The sequence below is a fragment of the Homo sapiens genome, chromosome 7 (genome assembly GCF_000001405.40).
Source record: "Homo sapiens chromosome 7, GRCh38.p14 Primary Assembly".
In the NCBI taxonomy this organism is placed as follows: domain Eukaryota; kingdom Metazoa; phylum Chordata; class Mammalia; order Primates; family Hominidae; genus Homo; species Homo sapiens.
Window position 1 is genome coordinate 105,943,394 of NC_000007.14, and position 20,359 is coordinate 105,963,752.

The 20,359-nt window shown below is 44.2% G+C and overlaps 1 protein-coding gene across 2 annotated transcripts in view, besides 5 other annotated features; it reads left to right on the plus strand.

The window, feature by feature from the left end:
* Positions 12,322–12,823: an enhancer, noted in NCBI's record as "H3K4me1 hESC enhancer chr7:105596161-105596662 (GRCh37/hg19 assembly coordinates)". NCBI's record gives its function as "activates a minimal SCP1, AML or CMV promoter by ChIP-STARR-seq in naive and primed H9 embryonic stem cells {active_cell/tissue: H9 hESC(naive and primed)}" and the evidence as "EXISTENCE:reporter gene assay evidence [ECO:0000049][PMID:30033119]".
* Positions 12,824–13,323: an enhancer, noted in NCBI's record as "H3K4me1 hESC enhancer chr7:105596663-105597162 (GRCh37/hg19 assembly coordinates)". NCBI's record gives its function as "activates a minimal SCP1, AML or CMV promoter by ChIP-STARR-seq in primed H9 embryonic stem cells {active_cell/tissue: H9 hESC(primed)}" and the evidence as "EXISTENCE:reporter gene assay evidence [ECO:0000049][PMID:30033119]".
* Positions 18,424–19,375: an enhancer, noted in NCBI's record as "H3K27ac-H3K4me1 hESC enhancer chr7:105602263-105603214 (GRCh37/hg19 assembly coordinates)". NCBI's record gives its function as "activates a minimal SCP1, AML or CMV promoter by ChIP-STARR-seq in naive H9 embryonic stem cells {active_cell/tissue: H9 hESC(naive)}" and the evidence as "EXISTENCE:reporter gene assay evidence [ECO:0000049][PMID:30033119]".
* Positions 19,376–20,327: an enhancer, noted in NCBI's record as "NANOG-H3K27ac-H3K4me1 hESC enhancer chr7:105603215-105604166 (GRCh37/hg19 assembly coordinates)". NCBI's record gives its function as "activates a minimal SCP1, AML or CMV promoter by ChIP-STARR-seq in naive H9 embryonic stem cells {active_cell/tissue: H9 hESC(naive)}" and the evidence as "EXISTENCE:reporter gene assay evidence [ECO:0000049][PMID:30033119]".
* Positions 19,871–20,359, plus strand: part of CDHR3 (cadherin related family member 3) — a 73,169-nt gene continuing 72,680 nt past the window's right edge. For both annotated transcript variants that reach the window (NM_152750.5, NM_001301161.2), the window contains exon 1: positions 19,871–19,971. In NM_152750.5, the coding sequence (NP_689963.2) occupies positions 19,926–19,971 (46 nt within the window). In that variant the 5' untranslated portion in view covers positions 19,871–19,925. The remainder of the gene's footprint in view (positions 19,972–20,359) is intronic.
* Positions 19,910–20,204: a silencer, noted in NCBI's record as "tiled region #9048; K562 Repressive non-DNase unmatched - State 21:Repr". NCBI's record gives its function as "represses a minimal TATA promoter and a strong SV40 promoter by Sharpr-MPRA in K562 cells {active_cell/tissue: K562}" and the evidence as "EXISTENCE:reporter gene assay evidence [ECO:0000049][PMID:27701403]".

Genomic DNA, 20,359 nt, shown 5'->3' on the forward strand with positions numbered 1-20,359 from the left:
GGATGAGGAAAGATAAGCCCCATTGCCCAGATAGCAAGCAATTTAACCTGGATACCAAGCCTTTTCAGCACGGAATTCATATCCATTTTTGACAGGCAATAGAGGCTATAAACAATGAGCCTGACCTTAATTCAAATGCTAACTGATTATGTTTGACAAAAAACAATGTAAACAGGGCTTTAATTGATTCATGTGCTTACAACTGGTGTTTCGTTTATTATTGTCTTCTCTGTAATAGCCTCCATCTGGGATTTAGGAACTGGGTTGCTAGGCAGAATCTCTGCCACCAGTTTGAGTTCAGAGCCAACATGCCTTCGTTGATTCATTCATTTATTTAACAAGTTAATGGCACTGTGGCTTGCACTGGGCTACAGTCATGCACAAAACACATATGGTCCCTGCCCTCACAGAGCTCACAATCTGATGGGCTATAAACAGATAACTTCATGAAGAAATACACAGTAAAAACATGTGGTACAAATCATGACTAGGCCTAGCCCGGTGGCTCACACATGTAATCCCAGTGCTTTGAGAAGCCAAGGCGGGAGAATCGCTTGAGCCCAGGAGTTAGGAACCAGCCCGAGCAACAGTGAGACCCTGTCTCTACATAAAATTGTTAAACATTTAGCCGGGCATGGTGGCATGTGCCTGTAGTCCCAGCTACTTGAGAGGCTGAGGTGGAAGGATTGCTTGAGCCCAGGAATTCGAGGCTGCAGTGAGTGAGCTATGATTGCACCACAGCACTCCAGGTCTGGGTGACAGAGAGAGATCCTGTCTCAATAAATAAATCAATAAAATCATGAATCAAGGGAAGGAGGTACTCGGAGGGAGGATGATCAGGAGTGGGGTCAAGGGAGGTCCCTCTAAAGCAGGATCTGTGAGTTGAAAAGGAGCCAGATGGGGGACGCTGAGGGAAGGATGTTCCAGACAGAGGAAACCATGCAGCAAAATCCCTGGGCCTGCAAGGCTTGGTGTCCTTGAGGAGACAGAGGCCGCTGTGGCTGGAAAGAGTTGGGGGTGGGGTAAGTTGCTTGGGATGGGATAGTTAACAGGAAAGACAGGGAAAATAGAAACATTTTAAACAATACATGGGAACATACTTATTAAAATACAGACTGTGGGAATAGTTTCACAACACATAATTTACAAAGACCCAGTTTCACAAGACATAATTTACAAAGGAAAAAAAGTAGAGGGGAAACCTACAGATGAAGAGACTTAAGAAGCCATACCAAAACTGTGGAGCAATGTACAGAGCCCTCATGCATGGTCGGAGGGATTGTACAATGGTGCTTGTTGGCAGTGGTGGCAATCCTGGACTTTGGGGTAGCCGTGTTGTGTCAAAGAACATGCCCCCATCCTCATGCACCTCATTCACTTGTGTGCTGAATAGTGTCTGTTATACAGTGAATTGCGTCCCCCTAAAAGTTATGTTGGAGTCCTAACCCTCAGAATATATCTGTATTAGCATTCTCCAGAAAAAGAGAACCAATGGGAAGATAGATGATAGATAGATAGATAGATAGATAGACAGACAGATAGAGATTTATTTTAAGGATTTGTTTCATATGATTATGGAGGCTCAGCAAGTCCACAATCTGCAGGGCAGGCCAACAGGCTGGAGACCCAAGGAAAAGGCCGATGTTGCCATTTGGGTCCAAAGGCAGTCTGCTGGCAGAATTCCTTCTTGCTCAGGGAAGGTCAATCTTTGTTTTATTGAGGCCTTCAACTGATTGAATAAGACCTATGCACATTATAGAGGCAAATCTGTTTTAAAGACCACTGGCTTAAATATTAATTTCTTGTAAAAATTGACTTCACAGAAGCGTGCTGAACAACATTTGACCACATATCTGAGTACCATGGCCTAGCCAAGTTGATACACAAAATTAATCATCACATGGAATTAGTTAAGTCTGAGTGCAGTTGTTAAGGTGGGCACTAAGCCAATATGACTGGTGTCCTTACAAAAGGGGAGATTTGGATACAGAGACAGAAACACACACAGGGAGAAGCATGCCATGTCTTCGATGAAGGTTGAGACCAGGGTGAGGACAGCAAACCACCAGGAGCTAGGAAAGAGGTGTGCCCAGATTCTCTGCACAGCCTTGAAAAAGAATCAACACTACCAACACCTTGATCTCAGACCTCAAGCCTCAAGAACTATGGGACAATAAATTTCTGTTGTTTAAGCCATCCAGTTTGTGGCACTTTGTTCACTCTAGTGAACGAATATAGCTTTCCATAATCCAAACAGTACAGAAACAGAGAACAAGACACCAAACTCCTAGGCTCCAGAAGGCATTAGCCGGGCATAGACAGAAGAAAAATCTGAAAGAAGATGTGAGCAGGCAATGCCCATTTCTACCTGCGTGCTCTCCATCCACATCCTCCCTGGCTTCTGGACAAACAGATAAAGCCCTCAGACTGAGTGGAGAGAGGAGAGTTGAAGAGGGAGTAAGAGAGTTGGATGCAATGTGGAAGGCGTACATCCTCCCTATCCTCTGACAATAGCGAACTCACAGAGGCGGGCATGTCTGGGGAGCACCTTTAAATGTGAGGATAAACTCCAGGGAGACTACATCTGATCCATTGTTGTGTGTCAGCAGTGGGTAGAAATGACGTCACCGCACATGGGGCCAGAGGCTATCCTGAGTTTTCCATATCCCTAAAGGGGTGTGTCAGCCATTAGAAAACACCCAAGGCTCCTGCGTGAGGACACACAGAAGATACTTGGGAGACAGCAAGCCTGTGAGGCCTGGAAACCAGGATGAAGGGACCCTATGTGGGGAAGGCGCAGTTCACCGTCAGGACTGCAGGAAGCCTGGGAGGACGCCATGGAGACCTGCAGGTCTCTGAGGCAGGGTGATGGTGTGTCAGAAGCAGCAGGCCAGCAGAGCACCAAGAAGGGGGTGCCCTCTCCCCACGCCCTCACGCAGCCCTCAACACTGTGTGGGCAAGTGGGAATTCAGCCAGACATCAGTGTCAATCTCAGAGATACAAGGAAAGAGGATGAAGAAAATCTGAACTGTAACTCAGTTCTAAAACCAGATGCCCGGGAAGTTGCTGGATCTGACTCGGTCTACCTGAAAATAGCGAATTTGAGCTTTCCGCAATGGTCTGAGAAAGCTCAAGATGAAAAGTAAGGCTGGAAACAGGAAAAATAAAGTTATCTTTTGCCCACATAAGTCTGTGTTTTATGAAATTAATGCTTGTTATAATAGCTATTATTGAATGCCAACTTTATACCAAGAACTTTATAGATACCACCTCATTTAATTGATATGATTTTATGTGTATGTATTACTATTCACATTATATAAAATTAGAGAGATTAAGTTACCTGCCTAAAGTCACCCTCCTAATCATCAGTGCAGCCAAGATTTGTGTCTATACCTATACAACACTAAAACATATTCTTGGGATTAGTGGGAAGCCTTTGCCTAGTACAGTATTTGCCCCATTGAATTTTAAGCCACATGTCAAGAGCATAGCACTGGGTTCCTTGCAGAAGATGGACTCAGACACCTTCCTGGGTCTTTCCTTCCCCAGGTGGATGGTGTTTGCATCATTACTTTCATTACTTTGCTTTCTCACTGTCATTTCTATAGTCTTGGCTTCACTTTCTCCTTCATCAGTCTATTCAGCTCTTTCTGGCTGGAAGATTTTTCTTGGAAGAGAAGACTGAAGCACAGTTGGTCCTCACCTGAGATGCAGCAGTCTGGCTTTTCCTTTCTAGTTTCCCTATTTTGTATTGCTACCATTTCTGGGTCAAAATATCTGCTTACCTCATCCATCCATTTCCGCTTTACTCCATCAGTTATTTTTTCAAGAAAAACAATAAGTTTGGGAAAATACTAAGCTTCAAAACAAGTATAAACTGATTTCCCACAGTCAAGATTAGCTTTCTCTGATGCCCACAGGTCAATTTTTCCTTCTGTGTTGGACAAGATGTATCTTGGACATGGGTGAGATAGAAGTTGGCCCCATTTTCTTTCTTTTTACTAGGAAGAGGCTAAGTAACACTCATACAAGCACATAGCCAGTAGTTTGTGGAGTCAGGATTCAAACTTGGGTTCACTTAACTGCAAAGTTAGTACTGCTCCTTTTCGACCACCCCACTTTTCCAAAGGGTTTCCCTACTTCCAACTATATCCACAAGCAAAAAGTCATGTATAGGGCATCTCCTCTGTAGAAGAATATTCAAAGAGGTGTACAAATTTAAAAATCAGTCTCATTAGATGATGATACCTTCACACATGTGTAGATCCACGCACAGATATATTTGAGGGGCCACTTTAAGCATGGTTGGCAGAGCTTTCACTTTCTGTCTATCATCTTCCAGATCAGAGCTCCCCAAAGCAGAGGACCTCAGGAAAGCCACCTATGTACTGTGCCCTTGGGAGTTCTGTGATGACAATGATGATCATGTCCACATAGGTAGTGGCCATCCACCTCCACTCCTCAGGCCCTTCCTCAGGACTGTCCAGCCATGGTGATTTGCCTGTTCAGTAGCCACTGTCCTCCACAACCAGATTTTTGTCAGAAAATATCTATATTCTCACATTGTCTGTTGAGGGACAGAGGTGGCAGTTTGGAAGATTGATTGGCAAGTTCTAAGAGATGGTCAATGAAGCAATTATAGCGGAAGATGTTGTCTGCATGTGAAAGTGCTTTCTGTAAAGCAGTACATGCAGATCAGCCATTGGCTGCTGCTTCTATGTTCCTCCTATTATTATTAACCACACTTTTAGAGTAGGAGAAAGATAGCAGAGCTGAAGAGCCAGAGGACTGGCATCCGTTCTTGAAACTCTGCTAACTGGTTTGTGAGTTGGGCACGTCATTTAAACTGTCTTCTTATCTAGAAAATGCAAAGCTCGTGTAGCTTTGCATTTAGAAGATCTCTGTGGTCCTTCCTTGCTTTTATCTAGTTGCTTGAGGAAACCCCATGAGTATAATCAACTAGATGTCCAGAAAACTTCTAATTACTGGCAGCTCTATTAGGAGCCCAGAGGACAAAGAGTTTTCTTATTTTTAATATAGTAGAGACTTTAAATCCAGGGTATGGAGGGCCCACAGGAGCACAAAGAGCTGTTTAAAAGTCCAACTGCTTGAGTTGGAACTTATTTGAGAATGCAGGTTTAAATGTACAAACACTCATACACATACACACATACACAAACAGAAGAATCTCATAGTAAGATATAATAAGCTTCTGAAAAGATGGATATTAAGTTAAATTTTTTTGAATTGAAATATTTTGATTGCATGAAGAGAGTATACCAGTTTTTTTAAAAAGTGAAGAAACTCTTTTTTTTATTATACTTTAAGTTCTAGGGTACATGTGCTCAACGTGCAGGTTTGTTACATATGTATACATGCGCCATATTGGTGTGCTGCACTCATTAACTCGTCATTTACATTAGGTATATCTCCTAATGCTATCCCTCACCCCTCCCCCCACCCCACGACAGGCCCCGGTGTGTGATGTTCCCCTTCCTGTGTCCAAGTGTTCTCATTGTTCAATTCCCACCTATGAGTGAGAACATGCGGTGTTTGATTTTTTTGTCCTTGCGATAGTTTGCTGAGAATGATGGCTTCCAGCTTCATCCATGTCCCTACAAAGGACATGAACTCATCCTTTTTTATGGCTGCATAGTATTCCATGGTGTATATGTGCCACATTTTCTTAATCCAGTCTATCATTGATGGACATTTGGGTTGGTTCCAAGTCTTTGCTATTGTGAATAGTGCCGCAATAAACATACGTGTGCATGTGTCTTTATAGCAGCATGATTTATAATCCTTTGGGTATAACCCAGTAATGAGATGGCTGGGTCAAATGGTATTTCTAGTTCTAGATCCTTAAGGAATCGCCACACTGCCTTCCACAATGGTTGAACTAGGTTACAGTCCCACCAACAGTGTGAAAGCGTTCCTATTTCTCCACATCCTCTCCAGCATCTGTTGTTTCCTGACTTTTTAATGATCGCCATTCTAACTGGTGTGAGATGGTATCTCATTGTGGTTTTGATTGGCATTTCTCTGATGGCCAGTGATGATGAGCATTTTTTCATGTGTCTGTTGGCTGCATAAATGTCTTCTTTTGAGAAGTGTCTGTTCATATCCTTCGCCCACTTTTTGATGGGGTTGTTTGTTTTTTTCTTGTGTCTTTGTTTGAGTTCTTTGTAGATTCTGGATATTAGCCCTTTGTCAGATAAGCAGATTGCAAAAATTTTCTCCCATTCTGTAGGTTGCCTGTTCACACTGATGGTAGTTTCTTTTGCTGTGCAGAAGCTCTTTAGTTCAATTAGATTCCATTTGTCAATTTTGGCTTTTGTTGCCATTGCTTTTGGTATTTTAGACATGAAGTCCTTGCCCATGCCTATGTCCTGAATGGTATTGCCTAGGTTTTCTTCTAGGGTTTTTATGGTTTTAGGTCTAACATTTAAGTCTTTAATCCATCTTGAATTAATTTTTGTATAAGGTGTAAGGAACGGATCCAGTTTCAGCTTTCCACATATGGCTAGCCAGTTTTCCCAGCACCATTTATTAAATAGGGAATCCTTTCCCCATTTCTTGTTTTTGTCAGGTTTGTCAAAGATCAGATGGTTGTAGACGTGTGGTATTATTTCTGAGGGCTCTGTTCTGTTCCATTGGTCTATATCTCTGTTTTGGTACTGGTACCATGCTGTTTTGGTTACTGTAGCCTTGTAGTATAGTTTGAAGTCAGGTAGTGTGATGCCTCCATCTTTGTTCTTTTGGCTTAGGATTGTCTTGGCAATGCGGGCTCTTTTTTGGTTCCATATGAACTTTAAAGTAGTTTTTTCCAATTCTGTGAAGAAAGTCATTGGTAGCTTGATGGGGATGGCATTGAATCTATAAATTACTTTGGGCAGTATGGCCATTTTCATGATATTGATTTTTCCTATCGATAAGCATGGAATGTTCTTCCATTTGTTTGTGTCCTCTTTTATCTCGTTGAGCAGTGGTTTGTAGTTCTCCTTGAAGAGGTCCTTCACATCCCTTGTAAGTTGAATTCCTAAGTATTTTATTCTCTTTGAAGCAATTGTGAATGGGAGTTCACTCAGGATTTGGCTCTCTGTTTGTCTGTTATTGGTGTATAAGAATGCTTGTGATTTTTGCACATTGATTTTGTATCCTGAGACTTTGCTGAAGTTGCTTATCAGCTTAAGGAGATTTTGGGCTGAGACAATGGGGTTTTCTAAATATATAATCATGTCATCTGCAAACAGGGACAATTTGACTTCCTCTTTTCCTAATTGAATACCCTTTATTTCTTTCTCCTGCCTGATTGCCCTGGCCAGAATTTCCAACACTATGTTGAATAGGAGTGGTGGGAGAGGGCATCCCTGTCTTGTGCCAGTTTTCAAAGGGAATGCTTCCAGTTTTTGCCCATTCAATATGATATTGGCTGTGGGTTTGTCATAAATAGCTCTTATTATTTTGAGATACATCCCATGAATACCTAATTTATTGAGAGTTTTTAGCATGAAGGGTTGTTGAATTTTGTCAAAGGCCTTTTCTGCATCTATTGGGATAATCATGTGGTTTTTGTCTTTGGTTCTGTTTATATGCTGGATTACTTTTATTGATTTGCATATGTTGAACCAGCCTTGCATCCCAGGGATGAAGCAAAAAGGGAAGAAACTCTTTAAGTCATCAAAGCTAAGCAAAACCAAATCAAATAAATGCAACTCTAAATTTTTGTCTTGCAAGAACTCATATTATTATTTGCTTTGAAAATTAAGATTATTTTCCTCTGAAGATCAGTTTTAATTCAACATACCTGTAAAGGATTATGATGAAATAATAAAAATGATTTGTTATGTGTCAAATGTTATCTGTGAAATGTTTGTTATTTTAATGTTATGTTTCATATACAGTAAGACTGTGGTTATCTGACATTACTCAGCAGAAGTCCTGATTTATAGGCACTTTTATCAAATCTATTTAGACTTATGGTTTTGAAAACATAACAAAGCAATACTTTGATACTAATACCATCTACTCAATGAATTTGTTTTTCAATTGGTAACAAATCAGTTGAGCTTTAAAAACAGTTATAAACTTGTTCTCCTTTCAAAGATAGAAAGTTACAAGAGGAATTCAAGAACAGCTAACCTCATAGTCTCAAAGTAAAATTAGAATTTTAAAATTGTAAGACATTAGGGATAAATAAAAGGCTTAATTAAGAACTACCAAAAAGAAAAGACAGCTTTCTGAAACCAAATACCAAAAACAATGTTAGGCCAACAGCAAAAATTAGCCAAAAAAACTATTATCTATTTCATGGGTAGAAATAGATATTAGAAGACAGGGAGAACATGTCTTCAAGAAATGAAGAGAAAAATAACTGTCGACCTAGACTTCTATACCCAGCTAAACTATTATATACACGCCAGGATGAAATAAAGATTTCCAGACACACACAACTAAAAGTACTTACTGACTACACACTCTGAATGAATGAACTACTAAAGGGTGTAAGAAAGAAGAAAAACCTAGAAAAAAGAATTGAAAGAAGAAAAGCTGCATAAAGAAAGCTATAAAATATTTTGATGAATATAAAAGCATTGACAATATTGATGGTTAAATAAACACCCCTCATTTGTGTGTAAAAACAAGGAGATATTTAATTCTAAATGACATAGAAAACCTAGAAAATGGGAAGAAGGGTTTCAGAGGAAAGTTAAAAACTGGCTAAGTTCTTTCTTTTGGGAGGAGGAAAATACAAATAAATAAATAAATCAAAATAGAATCGCTAACTAGAAGACTGCGAGGTCAAAAGGACCTGCTGCCTGTCATGAGGCTCTCTCTGGTGTTGTTACATGAGCTGAGGTGAGTAAAGACATAACTTCCAGTTTAGGCAAAGGCATGGAGGGAGGGAGAACACTGAGTACTTTAGCCTGAAGAATCAGACTTGCTTTTGGCACCCACGTTAAGATGTATTTCACCCACTGCTTTGTGCAGGATGGGATTACTACGTACAAAGCAGAGGGCTGATATGCACTGAACACTGGGTCACCCACATCTATGCAAATGAGGGGACTGAGGCCAGGAAAAGCAAGTCTTGGATTGATTATTTCACACAGACGGAAAGTTCCAACTTTCTCTGGAATGACATGCTATGAGCTAAGAGAAATTTTGCTCCTTTTTTCTTCCAGGTGCTGTGTGAAACAGGCTAGAGGCACATTTCCTCTGCTTGACAGTTCTATCCTAAGCTTAACTACTCTTTGAATGTGAAGGGGAAAGTATTCCCATATCCCCAGCTCTTTGAGCAGATGATTAGCACTCTGGCTAAGTTGGCTAAAGTGCAATTTTGGAAAGAGAAGTTCCCATTGGATCCTACCTCACACCTTAAGGAACTGATATGGAAGGAAGTACTGGGAAAGGCATGGTCCCTTTAAATGATATGGAAGGAGGCAGGGAAGTGCTGAGTAGAGAAGGGCGTGGTCCCTGGCTAGGGCTCCACAGTGGGGCCTGTGCCCATGGACCTAGGTGAAGACAGGCATTTTTGTTTTTCTGCCCAAATGTTGCATTTCCCAAGACCACCCTGACCTGCCATGCCCCTGTCCTATGCCTATAAAAACGCTGAGACCCTAGCAGGCAGACACACAAGCAGCTGGATGTCGAGAGGAGCATATCAGCGGAGGAACACACGGGCAGCTGGACGTCCAGAGGAATGCACTGACAGAAACTGGCATGCTGGCAGAACACGTGGAATTTGGCTGGGGCAGTTGGAGGAGAGGTCAGGCCTCCGAGCCACCTAACTCCAGGGGAAAACTGTCTCCCTTCTGGCTCCCCCATCTGCAGAGAGCTACTTCCACTCAATAAAACCTTGCACTCATTCTCCAAGCCCACATGTGATCTGATTCTTCCGGTACACCAAGGCCAGAACCCCGGGAAACAGAAAGCCATCTGCCCTTGTGATAAGGCAGGGGTCTAAGTGAGCTAACACAGGCCACCTACGGATGGCTAAACTAAAAGTGCACACTATATCACACTTTGCCTGGGGCTTCAGCTGTAAACATTCACCCCTAGACACTGTCGTGGCGTTGGAGCCCCACAGCCTGCACATCTGGTCTATATGCTCCCCTAGAGGTTTGAGCAGCAGGGCACTGAAGAAGTGAGCCGCACCCTCATCGCACGCCCTGCAATGGGGACAAGGAACTTTTCCCATTTCAGAATAATTCCAAGAAAATCAGAAGCTTATATTTGAAAACAAAACCATAAAAGTATTAGAAGAAAATATGAAAGTATTTATTATTATCTCAGAGAGAATCCTTTCTAAGCAGTGAGCAAAAAGTAGAGCCATAGAACACAAGGTGATACATTTGACTATATAAAAATGTTTTAAAAATTTTATGGCAGAAATCCCTAGAAACAAAGTCAAAAATCAAATGATAAAGAGGAAATAATATTTGCACTGCATATTACAGATAAAGTACTAAATTCCTCAACATACCAAGATTTCCTACAAACCAGTAGAAAATATACCAACAACCCAGAAGAAAAATGGTAGAAATGCCCAATTTTACTCATGAGAAGGAAATGCAGATTGAAATGAGATACAATATTTTTAACCTAACAGATTGGCAAAAAGTAAAATGTTTGATAACACTATATTGGTGAGGATTTGGGGGATTCTCCCACATTCTCACATGTCAATCGTAGGAGTATAAATTGGCACAACTTCTTTGAGGAGTATTTTGGCAATGTCTGTCAAAAAGTTAATGTTTTCTCCCATTCAAGTCCATTTTTAAAAATTTAGTCTACAAATATACTCTTGTATGATATTATATAGATTCAAAGACGTTTATTGCAGCATTACTTGTAATAGGAAAAAATTGATAACAAAGCAAACCCCCATCAATAGCAGACTTGATAAATACGTGGCACATCAATACAATGGATATTATGCAGTTACTAAAAAGAATGGTGCTATGTATGCGCTGATATGTTACAATGTCCCAACTATAGTAAGAGGAAAAACCAAGTAAAGTAGAGAGGATATAATATGCTTCCATCAGTATCATGAAGCACAGACTATGTTTCCATAAAGCAGAGACTATGCTATTTAGTATATGTTTGTATGCACATAGACTGTTTCTAGAAGGATCACAAGGCTGTAACAATAATGGCTGTCTCCGAGGAGGGAAACAGCTTCTGGGGAAAGGAGATAGGAAGACATGTTTTTCATTGTTTACTCTTTTGAATATTTAGAATTTTGCATTGTGTACATGTATTACCTATTCAAAAAATAAATTTTTTTTTCTTAAAAACTGAGCTTCCCTAAAGATAAATCAGCTGGCATAATGCCATTGGATGAACTATACTATTTCATACCTCTACATTGTTAACTGCTTTTGCCTTTACCCTTCATTTCTTCAGCTCACTCCTGCCCTTAGAAACCTTCCCTGACAGCTTCACTCTTGACCTACATTTGATTCTTTCTCTCCACTCTCTCATACCCCACAGCCTCAGGCATGCCTGGAGTTCAGTGGAGGCATGCCTAGATTACTTGGTTATAATCCTGGGCTTACTGGTTTGTCTCTGGGCTAGGGCCCGAGTTCCTTGATGGGAGAACCATGTCATAGCAGACCTTCCATCCTGATGCAAGTACAGTGGTGTGTCCAGAATTGGTGGGTTCTTGGTCTCACTGACTTCAAGAATGAAACCGTGGACCCTCGTGGTGAGTGTTACAGTTCTTAAAGGCGGTGTGCCCACAGTTTGTTCCTCCAGATGTTCAGATGTGTTCGGAGTTTCTTTCTTCTGGTGGGTTCGTGGTCTCGCTGGCTCAGGAGCGAAGCTGCAGACCTTCACGGTGAGTGTTACAGCTCATAAAGGTAGCAAGGACCAAAAAAGTGAGCAGAAGCAAGACTAATTGCAAAAAGCAAAAGAACAAACCATCCACAACGTGGAAGGCGACCCAAGCGAGTTACCACTGCTGGCTCCAGCAGCCTGCTTTTATTCTCTTATCTGTCCCCGCCCACCCCCCCACATCCTGCTGATTGGTCTATTTTACAGAGAGCTGATTGGTCCATTTTACAGAGAGCTGATTGGTCCGTTTTGACAGGGTGCTGATTGGTGCATTTACAATCCCTGAGCTACACACAAAAGTTCTCCACGTCCCCACTAGATTAGCTAGATACAGAGTGTCCACACAAAGGTTCTCCAAGTCCCCACCAGAGTAACTAGATACAGTGTCGATTGGTGTATTCACAAACCCTGAGCTAGACACAGGGTGCTGACTGGTGTATTTACAATCCCCTAGCTAGACATAAAGATTCTCCAAGTCCCCACCAGACTCAGGAGTCCAGCTGGCTTCACCCAGTGGATCCAGCACCCGGCCGCAGGTGGAGCTGCCTGCCAGTCCCGCGCTGTGCGCCCGCACGCTTCAGCCGTTGGGTGGTCGATGGGACTGGGCGCCGTGGAGCAGGGGGTGGCGCTGGTCGGGGAGGCTCAGGCTGCGCAGGAGCCCACGGCGGCGGGGTAGGCTCAGGCATGGCAGGCTGCAGGTCCTGAGCCCTGCCCCGCAGGGAGGCAGCTAAGGCCCGGCGAGAAGTCGAGCACAGCAGCCGCTGGCCCAGGTGCTAAGCCGCTCACTGCCCGGAGCCGGCGGACTGCTCCGAGTGCGGGGCCCGCCGAGCCCACACCCACCTGGAACTAGCGCTGGCCCGCAAGCGCCACGCGCCGTCCCGGTTCCCGCCGGCGTCTCTCCCTCCACACTTCCCCTCAAGCTGAGGGAGCCGGCTCTGGCCTCAGCCAGCCCAGGAAGGGGCTCCCACAGTGCAGCGGCAGGCTGAAGCGCTCCTCAAGTGCCGCCAGAGTGGGCGTCCAGGCAGAGGAGGCGCCGAGAGCGAGCGAGCGAGGGATGCCAGCATGCTGTCACCTCTCAGTGCTGCCATGCGGTGAGCTTCAACCAGAGCCACAGCTGGCTGACTGGATGGATGGAAGGAGGGGTGCTTCTACAGAATCTGTTGCTTGTGGCCAGGCATTTTCTTCAGAGAACAAAACAGTTCTCTGCGATAACCTTAGCATGCACAACAGGGCTTGACACACAGTAGGTATTCAATATTTCTTGAGTGAATAAATAAATGCCACCTAAAGGGAGAAGGGGGAAGAAGGAATCAGCTGGCATGAAGATGTTTGAACAAAGTGGCAGAGAGGGTAAGTAGGAGGAGACCCATAGCTTGGGGTAGGGGGCTCCAGGAAGCCAATGAAGGATGCTGGAGAAGGAGCTGGCTTCAAAGCAGTTAGACAATTGCCCACAAGAATGACCTGGTAGAATCACCATATGACCTGGTAATTACACTTCTAGGTATTTCCCTAAGAGAAATAAAAACCTATGTCGTGCAAAAACTTGTACACAAATGTTCATAGCAGCATTATTTTAATAGCCAAAATGTTGAAATAACCCACATGTCCATCAACTGATTAATAAGAAAATTAAATTGTGGTCTATCCATACAACGGAATAATATTGGGTTGGTGCAAAAGTAATTAAAAGTAATGGCAAAAACCGCAATGACTTTTGCACCAACCCAATATTATTCAGCAATAAAAAGGAATGAAGTATTGAGCCATACAACAAAATACACGAACCCAAAGAACATTATGCAAGTAAAAGAAGCCAGTACAAAAGGCCACATATTGCTGGGTGCACTGGCTCCTGCCTCTAATCCCAGCACTTTGGGAGGCCAAGGCAGGCGGATCACCTGAGGTCAGGAGTTCGAGACCAGCCTGGCCAACATGGCAAAACCCTGCCTCTACTGATAATACAAAAATTAGCCTGGCATGGTCGCACGCGCCTGTAATCCCACCTATTTGGTAGGCTGAGGCAGGAAAATCACTTGAACCTGGGAGGCAGAGGTTGCAATGAGCTGAGATCACGCCACTGCACTCCAGCCTGGGTGATGGAGTGAGACTCCATCTCAAAAAAAAAAAAAAAATTTTAAAAAGGCCACATATTGTATGATTCTATTCATATGAAATGCCCAGAATAAGGAAATCTATAGAGATAGAAAGTAGATTAGTGGTTGCTAGGGTTGGGGGCGAGAGTTAGAGGAAAATTGAGAGTAACTGCTAAGGATTGAAGAGGTTTTTCTTTGGGGGGGATGAAAATGTTATAAAATTGATTATGGTGATGGTTGCACAACTCTATGAATATACTAAAAATCACTGAATTGTACACTTTAACTGGGTGCATTGTAAGGTATGTGAATTATATCACAAACTGTTTAAAGAAAAAAAAAAGAATTATCTGGGGACGTGAGCCCAGAGAGCAGGCAGCCTAGCCCACAGTCACAGCAGGTGCCCTGGAGTCAGGTGGGGCTGAGCCCCAAGGACGTCTTCTCAGTCACTCTTCCACCTGTGAAGCCAGGAAAAGGACCCTACCAGTGGGTCCTGAGAGCCTTGGCTTCAGAGGAGCCCCTCCCATGGTCCTCAAGGCCAGTCAGGGGATGCAGCTCCGGGGTTCTAGAAGTGAGAAGGGCTGTGGCACTTCTTTATTTCTATCCCTGCAAGAGCTGGCGGGGGCGGGGGGGGCTCTCACTGGGTCGATGTTTGGGGTGGGTGTGAGAGGAGAGCATGGCACGAGGCAAGGAAGTATAAAGTAAGATCAGTAATTCCATGTTTTTTGAGCACTTACTATGCATCTGGCACAGTGTTAAATGTGAAGCAATTGGAGTGCAAAGAAGCATAAGAGCTTCTCTGTCCTGGAAAACTTGCCAAGGCTGCATGGAGACAGATGTATAAAAGATCCATGAGATGTGGTGCTAAAGCAGTGCGTGTGCTAGGACAGTGGCCCACAAAGAAGACACGGGGAGGGATGTGTTTCTATTCTTGCAAGCAGCTTTGTGCATCTGCATGGCACCATTGCTGTGAGCATGGGTCTACCCTGAGTGCCTTTCCTGAGGGAGGCCTGAGATGGGGGAGGTGCTTGAATGATGGAACCTGGGTGTTCTGTTCTAGGTTTTGGATTCCTGGAAGCCCATAGTTCCAGTCCTGAACAAACGGACCATGAACAGAACTGCCCCGCAGATATAAAGGTGATGAGGCTTGCAGGCCAGCCCACCAATGCTCGTGGAGCTGCTAACAGAGCCCAGCCATTGCACAGTACTTCTGTGTCTCATCTTAAGGCTGTAATATTTAAAATACAGACAAGTACAGTTAGTTAATGATGGGGATACATTCTGAGAAATGCAATACTAGGCAATTTCATCATTGTGCGAACATCATAGAGTGCACTTACACAAACCTCGATGGTATAGCCTATTACACACCTGGGCTGTATGGTATAGTTTATTGCTCCTGGGCTACAAACCTGTACAGCATGTTACTGTACTGAATACTGTAGGCAATTGTAACTCGATGGTATGTATTTGTATATGTAAACATAGAAAAAGTACATTAAAAAATACTGCATAAGGCCGGGCACGATGGCTCACGTCTGTAATCCCAGCACTTTGGGAGGCCGAGGTGGGTGGATCACGAGGTCAGGAGTTTGAGACCAGCCTGGCCAACATAGTGAAATCCCCTCTCTACTAAAAATACAAAAAACTAGCTGGACATGGTGGCGGGTGCCTGTAATCCCAGCTACTTGGGAGGCTGAGGCAGGAGAATAGCTTGAACCCAGGAGGCGGAGGTTGCAGTGAGCTGAGATCGTGCCATTGCACTCCAGTCCAGGTGACAGTGCGAGACTCCGTCAAAAAAAAAAAACAACAACAAAAAACTGCATAAATGATTTTTTAAAATGGTACACCTCTATAGGACACTTAACATGAATGGAGCTTGCAGGACTGGAAGTTGCTGTAGGTGAGTGAGTGAGTGGTGAGTGAATGTAAGGCCTAGGACATTACTGTACACTACTGTAGAGTTTGTAAACTTAGTCCACTCCATTTATTTTTCAATTTTTCTTTCTTCAATAATAAATTAACCTTATCTTACTGTAACATTTTTACAAACTTTTATATTTTTAAAACTTTTGACTCTGTTGTAATAACAGCTTAAAATACATTGCACAGCTGTACAAAAATATTTTCTTTCTTTATAGCCTTAATCTATACTATTTTTCTATTTTTTTTTAACTTGCAAACCTTTTTTGTTAAAAATGAAGACACAAACACACACATTAGTCTAGACCTGCACAGGGTCAGGATCATCAATGTCATGTCTTCCACCTCCACATCTTGTCCCACTGGAAGGTCTTCAGGGGCAATAACACACATGGAGCTGCCATCTTCTATGATAACAATGCCTTCCTCTGGATACCTCCTAAGGGCCTGCCAGAGGCTGTTCTACAATTAGCTTTTTTTTTTTTTTTTTTTTTTTTTTTTGAGATGGAGTCTCACTCTGTCACCAAGGCTAGAGTGCAATGGCGCGATCTCGGCTCACTACAACCTCTGCCTCCCTAGTTCAAGAGATTCTCCTGCCTCAGCCTCCCAAGTAGCTGGGACTACAGGTGCTCACCACCATGCCCAGCTAACTTATATTTTTAGTAGAGACGGGGTTTCACCATGTTGGCCAGGTGGGTCTTGAACTCCTGATCTTGTGATCCACCCGCCTCAGCCTCCCAAAGTGCTGGGATTACAGGCGTGAGCCACGGTGCCTGTCCAGCTTTATTTTTTTAAATAAGTAGGAGTATACTCTAAAATGACAGCATACATTTATTATCATTATAAGTATTATGTACTGTACATAACCGTATGCGCTAGACTTTTGCATAACTATCAGTGCAGTAGGTTTGTTCCACCAGTATCTCCCCAGACACATGAGTAACATGTTGCACTATGATGTTACAACAGCTACAACGTCACTAGTTGATAGTAATGTTTCAGCTCCATTATCATCTATGGGACCACCATTGTGTACGAAGTCCATGGTTGATGGAAATGTTGTCATTATGCGGTGCATGACTATATGTTATAGATTATGTAAGGGTAATTGAGTTCCAAGTTCCAAGTCAAAAAATGTTTGGAACACAACTCCTTTGCTAGCAAATTAGACACTTACAGTAGCTAGTTCCCAGGGAAGTCCCCTGAAATACTTTAAGGGCCTGAATCACTGCTGAGCCAGACAGCATGTAGGAGAAGGCTCCTGGGTCTCATGTGAAGCTGGAGGGGTGCCTGCCCTAGAGATTCCGACCCTGCCTGAGGAACCCATTCATCCCATCTGGCTGAGACCTTGGTGGATCCAGGACAGCTCAGCATGCTGGCAGTCAGGGACAGGAGAGCCAAGGACCGCAAGGTCCCATTCAGCCTTGGTGCGATTCAGGCCCAGTTGGGTGTCTGGTGCTAGGACTAGGTGCTTTCGGAGGGAGATGGGAATTGACACATGGGCAGCAGCCCGCGGCAATGGCAGAAACAACCTCGGGGCTGGAAACAGAAGCTGTAATTACAGGAGAAAACACCCACAATGAATTCCAAAAGATGACCCTTTTGCTCCCTAGAACCAGGGAGGGAAAGGAAGGGGAGGCACGATCTCCTGGTAAAAACAGGGTAACATGAAAAATGCTGTGCAGTCAGGCTGAAAACTAAACAGATGTGAGTTTCTTTAATACAAAAGTTTAATCATTCTGACGTTTTCCATAACTTAATCTGAGCCATCGCTTCAGCTTGAATTATGCATAATGAAATGGATTATTTACAGTATCTCACATGACAGGAAAAACTGAGAGGTGAGAATTGGTAGCTTGGCAACTGTTGTTTATTTTTCTTTTTATTTGGCCAATATATATTGAGTACCTACTATGTTTCAGCCCTTGCCAGGGTCCTATTAGGAAAAAATAGTGTGGCACATGCCTGTAATATCAACACTTCGGGAGGCGGAGGTGGGAGAATCGCTTGAGCCCAGAAGTTTGAGACCAGTTTGGGCAACATAGGGAGACGTCCTCTCTAAAAAAAAAATTTTTTTAATTAGCCTGGTGTGGTGGTGCACGCCTGTGGTCCCAGCTGCTCCAGAGGCTGAGGTGGGCGGATTGCTTGAGTCCAGGAGATTGAGGCTGTAATGAGCTATGATCGCGCTGCTACACTCTAGCCTGGGAGACAGAGTGACAGTGAGATCCTGTCTCCAAAAAAAAAAAAAAAAAAAAAAAAAGTATTTTTAAAACACATAGTATGGGCCAGTTTCTTTCACTTCTTTCTCTTGTGTATCGCTTGCGATGATACTGTGTAGCAGGTATTATTTTCCCTGATTTACAGAAGTGAGTGGAACTGAGATTCTGAAAGGTTAGGTAAATTGCCAAAGGTGACACAGCAACACTCCCTTTTGTTTTGTTGTTGTTGTTACTATCTATGTGCTTCGAACAGAGACCTATCGACTAGCTTTCCTAATCTTACTACCTTTCCTTCATGCTTTACACAAGAAAAGTCAACTTTTCTTAAGGGAAAGGTTCTTGTTATTTTGAGCAGGAAAGTAAATGACCAAAATTGTACTTTGGGGAAATTAACCTAAGTTTCTGTAGGATGTGCTGCGGGCCAGAGCCCAGGCCAGAGGCAAGGACCTTAAGCCAGGGCAGTAGCAACAAGCATGGGAAGGGGCCCGGCAGCAGGCCCTGGAGGCTGGAAAGGGCTTGTCAAATGTTTGGATGTGGTGGAAGGGAAGGGCAGCCTTGCCACCCTAGGTTTGGGACGCAGGGGACACAGGGGACACTGGCAGGTGGCGCAGCCTGGGTCAAACCCCTCACTCTCTGAGCCCTTCTTGCTTGGCACCCTTGCAAATAAATGCCTTCCTTTCTATTGCTGCAAAAACCTCGGTGTGGATATCCGGTTTTACTGCACAGGGTGAGTGGACCCAGTTTGGTTCCATAACACTGTCTCCCTCTATCCCTCGTTGGTGACCTCCGTGTAGCAGGTGCTAAAAGCTGGTTCACCTGTGGGGCATGTGTAGTTTTCAGAGCGCCTGTGGGGTCTCGTCCAGACTGGGAGGCTCTGACTCAACTCCCCACCTTCTTCACTGCATTCCTGCCCCCAGCCTTGGGCTGCTGGCCTCTCCTCCCCTAGCTGGCAGAGGAATGGGAGAGGTGGTCCAAGCCCAGCTGCCTTCCACTGTGCCCACTACTTCTCTTACTGCACCATGTCAAGGGGACAGGCCACTGCTCGGCCGTTCTCTCTCTGCTCTGCTGTTGCTCCTTCTCAGTGGAGACTAGACCCCAGCCCGCGTTTGTTCACATGCCACATCTTGTGCCCTGGCACAGGGCTGTGTGGAACAGAAAGGCATCGTGAAGGGCAAGACCTGCATCACTCCCCAGTGGGCAGAAGCCTCACCACTCCAGTAACCTTCCTTCACAGCCTTCTTCGAGGGCTGGAGGGGCGGTGGTGGGGGGTGGAGTCAGAGGGCAGTCTTCCACCTCAAGTCAGCCTCGAGGAGGGGTCTGCTCCCAGCTCTCAGATCTTGTCTTTAGAACGAGTGCCAGTTAATTCCCAAGTCTGAATCCTACTCATTGATTCAGGACAGCAGAAAAACTCCCACTTCCCACCCCTGTTTCTGGAAATGACCACAAGCCTGGCTACAGGGCGACCGAGACCATCATGGGTGGACTACGCACGTCCAGCTCTTAGTGTGGTCTCCGTGTCTCGGTTTTCTCTTTTGACTTCTCTTTTGGAGCTCTTGGTTGAGACACTTGGTGAGTGTGGACTTTTAAGGTAAACTCTGAGCTGACCAGGACTGGCTGGTTGGTCTCTTGGGTGCTATGCAGTCACAGAAGCAGGTAATCAAAGAACAAACAGTCCTGTGGTGTTTGGAGTCTCCCTTGGCTACCGCCAAAGCCTCTGTTTGATTTCTTGCATGGCAACAAAACCAGGAGGGGAAGCTGAGTGGCTTCTGGAATAAACTTTGGGTGTGAGACGGGATTCAGGCTGTGGCTAATGTGCTGGAAGCACGCACAGTTGTGACCATCAAGTATGCAGGAAGCAATCATTCTCCTGGCTCTCCTGGGTGCCATGTCAGGTAGGAACTCAATTTTGCTTTGGAACCTTGCTTGCCTACTTGGTCTGCATAATACCATTGAATGACAATGTCCCCCAGAAAGGAAATTGCCCCTGGGAGGCTTGTTCAATTGAGGGCTTAGCTGCAGTAATGAATGAGGTGATGCCGCTCCAGGGAGCCCTGGGGGACCAGGTAGGAGCCCTGGAAAAGAGAGATGCTTAAAGAGCCTAATCTAATCTATGTTGGTGTAGACTTCACTTTCCCTCTTGGGTTAACTGGCCTGCATTTGGTAGTCCTCCTGAGATTTAAGGTTGGGAAAATAGTGTTCATAGCAGAGCTTTGTGAGTATGTCAAGTGAGTCTTTGTGGAGATTCTGGCCCTTTTCTGGAGGCTCGTAGGGCAACTTGAG